General features: G+C 39.1%; 1 pseudogene; it reads left to right on the top strand.

Moving 5' to 3' along the window:
- VEZF1P1 (vascular endothelial zinc finger 1 pseudogene 1) lies at nt 2280-6042 on the top strand (annotated as a pseudogene).

Raw genomic sequence — 9512 nt, 5'->3', positions numbered from 1 at the left:
CATCTTGGTTCCAGCCACAGCTCAGGCAGAGGACTCCCTTGGCACTCGATATCTTCTGTGCTCCTGCCTCCAGGTTCTCTCCAACACAGGGGAGCAGAATGTCAGTGAGATTTCACTCTGCAAATAGCTCAGAAGTGCTAGAGAGTTAGTAGCCCTGGACAACTTTCAACCAGTGGGGTGTGGAAGACAAAGAGCAGATTCTTTTCTCCAACAATCCTTGGGTGGCCAGTTCTGAGCATTCCCTGCACTCTTGAGCACATCCCAGAAGGACTGAACCTCAGTTGGTGGGAACTCAGTCACACACCTTTGTATTGACTTTTTCTCCTCTATTTCAATCAGCTCAGTTCCTCACATCTGCCTACCTGGGTTCATCCCCTCATTCCCTGCCCCAGATAAATTTCTTGCACACAAGTCCTATTCCAGCCTCTTCTTTCAGAAGCTACAGCATCTGCAAGCTGGTCTTTGGTTATGCATTTTTGGTTTTGTTGTTCTTCTCAAAAACATTATTTGCCATGAATGTTTTATATATCAAGGATATTAACCTTTTGAGAAAATGTCAACAGAGTTATGAAGGGAGTATATCCCTTGGATTCTATGTCATGCTGAGTTATATTTGAGGTCAAAATTCTTGTACTTGCTTTAATATTTTAGAAATGTAATGTTGAAGAGTATCCATTTTGCAGTTGATCTTAACCAAAAGGCTGAGAAGTGATAGAAGTGTCCATTTTATATTGTTGTTGCTGTCATAGTTTTTAATTTAGAAATCATTTTTATATGTCCATAAAATTCTACCTGATATAAGATGGGCTCCTCTTTAGGGCTATTTGTTTTAGCTTTAGAGCTAGAGCTCCCTTTTGAATTTTCTTGATAATATAAATAAAATCACTTTTTAATATGTCTGTTTCTTTCACTCCAACAGTTTTTGGTGAAGACCAACTCTCATTCTTCCGTGTGGTCCATTTCCTTTGAATTACAGCTTCAGTTTTGTCCAGGTTCTTTGCTTTTACTGATTGTTCCTCCATAAAGAAGGTCTATGCTTTTCCAGAAGTAGCTTCTATTTCAGGAAGGGTAGAGGTGCATTCTGTCAAATCACTGGGTTTTTGCCTAAACCTTTTTTATAGGGGCTTTCAGGTTAAAATAAGTTCTGAGATTTTGAAGACATCATCTGATGTGACTATCAGTCAAGTCTTGAGGTGGAAGTGCTAAGCCATTTTATACCTGATTTTAACTGAGCTGGCCAAGAAGAGTGAGCTAAGATGAGGAATAGTCATACATAAGGGGAGAAGAAGGGGAAATAGGAGAGCGAGGCTTGGAGAATTTCTCAGCTGACCAGTACCCAGCTATAGAGACACTGGATATGATTCCCATGGCAGAGGAAAGGTATATGGTCTGAGGCTTAAGAACTGGAGGTAGGACTGGATGCAGAGGCAATGATGAGCACTTTAGATGAATTTATTACCCCTACTTGTAAAGTCAAGGGAAGAATAAGCTTATTTTACCCTTTCCAATTATCTTTGTTTAAAACTTTGTCTAGTTAATTTCATTTGAGGATAATTAGCAAACATCTGGTGTTCTACAGCTATTTCCCTCCCCACGGTATAGATTCTTCTCACTTGGGTGAGCATCAGTAGCATTCCCTCTCCTTTCTGAGGAGGATTTCAGTAAGTAGGAAATCACAGTCGAACTCAGTGCTGTTTCTTACATGGGGTGATGTATTTTGCTCATCTACAGCTACAGTAGTAAAGTGGTCCGTTCATTTTTGCATTTTAGCTGCCACTGATCATGATAGTCAAGACTGTGACTCTGCAGATGTGTTAAATAATTTTAAGAACATAACAAGAAAGTAATCAGTCTTTTATTCAATTTGTCATTTAATTTTCCTAATTATAACTGTCCTCCTGATAAATACCTTGAAGTTAGTGTTTTGAGCTGAGGCAGGAGATACTGAATTATAGATCCCAGAGTTACCTGAAAAAGAGTATCTAAAATCAATATGAAAACTCATACAAAAAGTCCAACTGAAGAACTGATTTGAAGAATCTAAGCAAAGAGGCAGCTTTGAGGCAAGAAGTAAGAAGAAATATGAATGAGATAATTTAGAATACCTGGTAGAGACTCTACCTCGAGAGGTTCTAAGGGGCCCAGAACTGTAGTTTCAAATCCTAGTTGCAGAGTATTCAGGGCCTTATAAATGAGAGGATCCGGAAATATTAACAGTACTGTATTAGTCCATTCTTACACTGCTATAAAGAATAGAAACTGCGGATGTTGGGGAGCCACCGCCGCCACTGCTTTGTTGTCACCTCCTCTGGCTGAGGAGGCTCCCCGAGCGGGGGGAGTGGGGAGGAGGGGGGGTCGGCCGTCGCAGCCATGGAGGCCAACTGGACCTCGTTCCTGTTCCAGAGAACATTTTTTGAAAACCCAGTTCCCCCTTGGAAGGCTTCATGTAGAAGTGTGGGGATCCTAGGAATCCTCAGAGAGCGATTCCTGCAGTGGTTCTACAGCATTTCACCCAAGAATCAGGGACCTGGTGTGACCCTTGTGTGAGAGTGAGCTTCAGCAATGCTGTAAAAATACTTTATGTTGCCACAAACATCTGAATTGGTAAAATGGCAGCCCAGGTAGCTTCCCATCACCAACAGCAGGCAGCACAGAACAGCTTGCTGCTCCTCCTGAGCTCTGCCGTGGAGCCCCCTGATCAGAAACCATTGCTTCCAATACCGATAACTCAGAAACCTCAGGGTTCACCAGAAACATTAAAGGATGCCATTGGGATTAAAAAATAAAAACCCAAAACTTCGTTTGTGTGCACTTACTGCAGTAAAGCTTTCAGGGACAGCTATCACCTGAGGCGCCATGAATCCTGCCACACAGGGATCAAGGTGGTGTCCCAGCCAAAGAAAACCCCCACCACGGTGTTTCCCCTTATCTCTACCATGGCTGGGGACAGCAGCCGAACTTCGTTGGTCTCGACCATTGCAGGCATCTTGTCAACAGTCACTACATCTTCCTCGGGCACCAACCCCAGTAGCAGTGCCAGCACCACAGCTCTGCCGGTGACTCAATCTGTCAAGAAACCCAGCAAGCCTGTCAAGAAGAACCAGGCTTGTGAAATGTGTGGGAAGGCCTTCCGAGATGTGTACCATCTCAGTCGGCACAAGCTCTCCCATTCAGATGAGAAGCCCTTCGAGTGTCCTATTTGTAATCAGCGCTTCAAGAGGAAGGACCGGATGACTTACCGTGTGAGGTCTCATGAAGGAGGAATCACCAAACCCTATACTTGCAGTGTTTGTGGGAAAGGCTTCTCAAGACCTGACCCCTTAAGCTGTCATGTAAAACATGTCCATTCAACAGAAAGACCCTTCAAATGCCAAACGTGCACTGCTGCCTTTGCCGCCAAAGACAGACTGCGGACACACATGGTGCGCCACGAAGACAAGGTATCATGTAACATCTGTGGGAAGCTCCTGAGTGCAGCATACATCACCAGCCACTTAAAGACTCATGGGCAGAGCCAAAGTATCAACTGCAATACATGTAAACAAGGCATCAGTAAAACAAGCATGAGTGAAGAGACCAGTAACCAAAAGCAGCAGCAGCAGCAACAACAGCAACAACAACATGTGACAAGCTGGCCAGGGAAGCAGGTAGCAACACTGAGACTGTGGGAAGAAGCTGTTAAAGCAAGGAAGAAAGAAGCTGCTAACCTGTGCCAAACCTCCACGGCTGCTACAACACCTGTGACTCTCACTACGCCATTCAATATAACATCCTCTGTGTCGTCTGGGGCTATGTCAAACCCAGTCACACTGGCAGCTGCAATGAGCATGAGAAGTTCAGTAAATGTTTCAAGGGCAGTTAACATAACCAGTCCAATGAACATAGGGCATCCTGTAACTATAACCAGTCCACTATCCATGACCTCTCCTTTAACACTCACTACCCAGATCAACCTCCCCACCCCGTCACTGCCCCAGAGAATATAGCACACCCTGTCACCATCACATCTCCAATGAATCTGCCCATGCCTATGACATTAGCCGCCCCTCTCAATATAGCAGTGAGACATGTAGAGAGCATGTCTTCCTTGTCCCAAGCTTTGCCTACATCACCGCCTTGGTAAACAGTATTATAAAATCAAAATATAGGTTAAAGTAAATATTTACCAGCAACTTAACTTTTAGTTGATTAAAGCAAAAAGTAAACCATGAAATTGGGAGATTTTATTACATTAGTTAATAAGAGTGTGGTAGCATTTTTCTCCAATTTGGCTGGGATTATTCAAAGTAGGGTGTGTATGTAACTTATCACTGGACCACTTTAGTTTAATCAGAAATTCCTTTTAGCTGACAACATTGCTTAAACAGGATAGTAGTTGGCAAGATGAAATGCCAGAATTAAAACCAATCATAAATAAGTAGAACCCACTTCAAAATAAAAAAAAAAACAGCATTACTATTTCTAATTCAAAGGAATCACTTTATTGTAAACACTAGCAGAACTCTTCTCCCTATACAAGGTGGATGGCTGATTTTAACCTGAAATTCTAAATCCACAGATTGAGAGCTAGTGTAGAATTGTCTGTGTTTATTGTTTTTATGAGTAAATACATGCATTGTCATAATAAAATGCATTTCAGAGAATATGCATTTTACCCTTGGGAATATGTTAATTTCAGGCAGCATTCCCTGTGGGAAAAGTGATACCAGCTCTGATATGCAAAACATATAATTTATCATTCTAACTTCAACATATAATAGGGATTGTGACCTGATATTTGGAGATGTAAATATTGCTCAGCATATTAATCCCAATGGAATATAGCATTGTAGTTGACTTTTTAAAAAAAAAAAATTGTTTTTAAATCTGCAAATTGTGTTTTGCTAAGAAAAGCCTCAGCTGACAGAGGAGAAGTCAAGTGTGTGGACAGGCAGGCTCCTAACAAACAGAGGCCAGTGGGACTCCTGTTTAGGAGCCAAGGAGTACTTTGGAACAGTTCAAATATATTGCTTTAAATTGGAAGACTCTGGAGGCACTGGGATGTGATATGCCCCTCTGTCTCCCAATCAGAGCCTGTTGATGTTACAACAGAGACAGATGTGTTAGTTGCTCACTAGAGTTTATGTCTTATATTAAATTGTATAGTTTTTATTCTAACCACTAACTAGGTAGTATATGCCCCTTCAGAACATGCAGAGTGTATCTTTTTTAAAATTTCTCCTTCTGTTTCTTAAGTATTGCGCAGATTTGTTCAACTTTGTAAATATGGACATCACTTTTTTTCTTTTTTTGAGAAAACATTTGTATCAGCTTTGTGGTGTTTTCAGGGAGACAGCTGTCTGCACTCCCTGTAGAAACCCAGCAATGATTGTGCACGTTGAGACATGTGCTTTTTATTTCTTAGCAGGGTATTTTATCTCTGTACATAAAGTAGAAACCAAAAGCTAGGGAAACAGATACTCTTTATACCATCATGCCACACATTGTTTTTAAAGCATTGTGTTAAAAAAAAAAAAGTTAACTAAAACCAAGACGCTGTGATTTTTTTTAAGTTGCAATATGTTTTTGGTTTTTTTCATTTTTTAATCATTGCAGTTAAGAGAAATGGAAATTAGTTGTGTTAATCTTGCAGAATGTTTGCAGGACTGACTATCAAACTGGATGATTTCCGTTTATACCCTACTGTGTCAGTTCAAGCATCAAAATACCTTGCATCTGAGACAGACTTCCTACCTCAGGGACAGGTATCTGTGTGTCGTTACACAAAACAGTTCTAGGGGGTTGAACTACATAGCAAAAAAATAAAATAAATAGTACTTAGTGTAAAATAATTTTATAAATGATCTTTTGTACTTTAGGACATTAAATTATACAACTTTTGTATATATAAAAGCTTAGGAACTTTCTGTTTAGCAGGAAGGCAACACATTCCTACACTTTTAATGTATATGTTTGTTATAATGTCCATGTAAACATGCCCTATGTTTGTGCCTTTTAATTAGTTTGTCTCAATAAACAAAATGTAGAGAAAAAAAAGAATAGAAACTGGGTAATTATAAAGGAAAGAGGTTTATTTAACTCCCAGTTATGCAGGCTTAGCATGAAGCATGGCTAGGAGGCCTCAGGAAACTTACAATCATGGTGAAAGGTGAAAAGGAAGCAGATACCTTCTTCACAAGGTGGCAGGAGGGAGTGAGTGCCAGCAGGAGAAATGCCAGACACTTATAAAACCATCAGATCTCATGAGACTCACTATCATGAGAGAAGTATGGGGGAAACTGCCCTCATGATCCAATCACCTCCCTCCCTTGACACGTGCAGATTATAAGTCCCTCCCTCAACACGTGGGGATTACAATTCGAGATGAGATTCGGGTGGGGACACAGAGCCAAACCACATTAAGCACCAATTCCATTCAGACATTTCCCTCACTTCATAATTCCTTCCTTTCCTCTTTACAAAAGTTTTCAGCATGAAACATAATTCAAAGTACAATAAATTGTATGCATATCTACATTGATCCATGTATATATAAAGAAGAGAACAGAACTATTAGATATTATTGTTACCTGAAATGAACTACTTAATAAATTTAATTGAACAAAAAGTTTGTTTTAATTTGTGGGTAACAAAAACAAAAAGGATGATATAACCATTGTTGTTTGGACAGGATGTGAATTTGTCTGTTGTGACTTTTCCGTTGTGATTATATTGAAAAAAACATTGTGGGAATCTTATGTGAACCGTTTAGCAACATAATGAAAAATGTCATTCTTTTTAATCTGAAGTATTCTATCAATTCCTGAAATCTCCCAAATCATCATCTCATTATACATCACCTGTTGGTAATAGGACTCACGAGTGGCTTAGAATGAGATTTTACCTTTGTTTCTGCAAAGTACCACAGGGTATTATAAGCTTACACTACCTTTTTATCTAATTTCTTGGCTCAGAAGTGTCCAGAATACAGAGGTAATATAAATTTGAGCCAGAGAAGATCCAAGTCCCTGGTTACTAATGTTTAGGACAGGATTATTTCCACCCACAACCAAGCCTGAAACAGACACAGCTTTCTTGTAATTGAGCTGGGGAGAGTATTCCAGTTCACATTTTGACTAAGGAAACAGTAATGTCAGGCAGTGGTTGAAATTTTGGGGTCTAGCAGGGAGCAATTGTCATTCTGGAGTTCTCTACATTCACAGTATTAAGATTTCTCTGCCCTCAACAGCAGAAGTAGGATACAGAAGCAAGGTCCAGAACTCAGATGCATTACCTAATTTTAGCCTTGGGGTAGATACCACCAAAAAAAACCCTGAAAACTTTAATTTGTTGCACCTTTCAACTGTTTGTTTCAACTCAACATTCACTCTACTGACTCATCTGCTTCTGATTATCTTGACTTCTGGTAGCTTGAATAATTTCTTGCACCTGGTTTTGCTTCAGGCCTCAATCCTGATACTTGTTTCTGCTGCTGTTACTCACAGTTCTGGATTATTTTCTTGATTGCAATTTACATTTGCCAATTTAGCTAAACACAACACCCAGTTCAACATAGTCCCAAAGACCCTACACACAGGTACAGGCCCTTAGGTTTATCATTCCTATCTAATTCACATGCAGAATCAGGGAAGGGAATTAGTCCATGCCTGGCAGGGTGGGTGTCTTAGTCTGTTCCTGCTGCTATAACAAAATACCTTAGACTGGGTAACTTGTAAATAATAGAAATTTATTTCTCACAGTTCTAGATGCTGGGAAGTCCAAGATCAAGGCATAAGCAGCTTCGGTGTCTGATAAGTTCTGACTCTCTGCTTCCAAGATGATTCCTTATTGATGCATCCTCCAGAGGGAACAAATACTGTGTGTCCTCGTATGGCAGAAGGGATGGAAGAGCAAAAGGCACTAGGGTGCTCCCTCTTCTAAGGTCCCATCTCTTAATACCTTAGGGTTTAAATTCTAACACATGAATTTTGGAGGGACACATTCATTCAAACCGTAAAAGTGGGGCTCCAGTCTTACAGGAAAACTTAAGGAAGGTTTTCAGAAACTTAAATGACTAAAACTTTAGCTCTGTTTTTTCTTTTCTAGCCAAAATTAAAACATTTTATTGACATATATTAAAGAAAACAAACTATAATCTTGATATAGAAGACTAATCATAAAGATGTAATTATCTCAAAATTGGTTTATATTTTAATATAATCTCTACAAAAGTTCTTATAGGAATTTTTATAGAACTTGACAGTCTAATTATATATTTGTCAGAGAATAGCAAATGAACAATAGCCAATATAATAGTAAAGAAGAACATGGTACAGGAAAGTGCCCTAACCAATATCAAGATTTATTATAAAGTTTATACATAAAAAACATGATATTAATGCAAAGTTAGAAAAACAGATTCTTGGAACAGAATAGAGACCTCCTAAAATAATAAGGATGCTCAAAAATTTGATTTGTGAGAGTCTGCATATTGAAGATCAGTGGCTAAGGGATAAGATACTCTATAATTAACCTCAAGAAACTCAATTATCAGTATAGAACACAATCAATTCCATATAAAAACCTAAATGAGAAAGATAACTTCATAAAAATAATTTTCATATAGTTAAGAATTTTTTTAAATAAGGCTTTAAAAATCATAAAAGCTTGATGAAACTGTAGTAAATTTTAATTTTCAATGAAACGAAAAGACAACATAAGTTTTAAAGAGCAAACTACAACTTTGTTGAAGATGTTTGCCATACTTAAGATGTAAAATTTATTCCAAAAACATTTAACATTTAGTTCTTGAAAGAAGCCTGGACCTGTGGATGGAATCAATGCTGAAGAGCCATAGAAAAAGGGAAAAGGAGTTGAAGTTGGAGGGTGCAAGGGTGCCCCTGGATTGTTCCTGGGAATAGCAGGTTCTGCCATAAAAGAGACAGAGAAAAGCAGGGGCACACTAGTCATATCTGGCTTTCTACATACTAGGCTTGTGAAACGAACAATTCCAAGTTTCATCAAAAGCAAGTTAGACCATATGATTCAGCAGTTCCATTTCTGGGTATATATCCAAAAGAAATAAAGACGAGGGTTGATCATCTCTTTGTACATCCATGTTCATAGCAGCATTCTTCACAATTGACAACAGGCAGAAGCAACCCAAGTGTCCATTAATAGAAGAAAGGATAAAAAATATGTGGTATATGCATACGATGGAATATTATTCAGACTTAAGGAAGGAAATTCTAACACATGGTACAACATGGATGAACCTTGAAGACATTATGCTGACATGCCAATCACAAAAAAAATTAATGTATGATTCCACTTATATGAGCTACCTAGAGTAGTCATATTCAGAGACAGAAATCTGTACCCGTTATGCAATATCTCCCTGTTCTTCTCTCCCCACAGCCAGGAGGGATATTGTGCAATGGGTAGAGAGTTTTGTTTGGTGAAGATGAAAAAGTTCTGGAGATGGATAGTGGTGATGGTTGTACAACAATGTAATTGTACTTAGTACTACTGAG

The sequence above is a fragment of the Homo sapiens genome, chromosome 3, assembly GCF_000001405.40.
Source record: "Homo sapiens chromosome 3, GRCh38.p14 Primary Assembly".
Lineage (NCBI taxonomy): Eukaryota > Metazoa > Chordata > Mammalia > Primates > Hominidae > Homo > Homo sapiens.
Note: the sequence above shows the minus strand (reverse complement) of the source record. Positions and strands in the feature narration are given on the sequence as shown.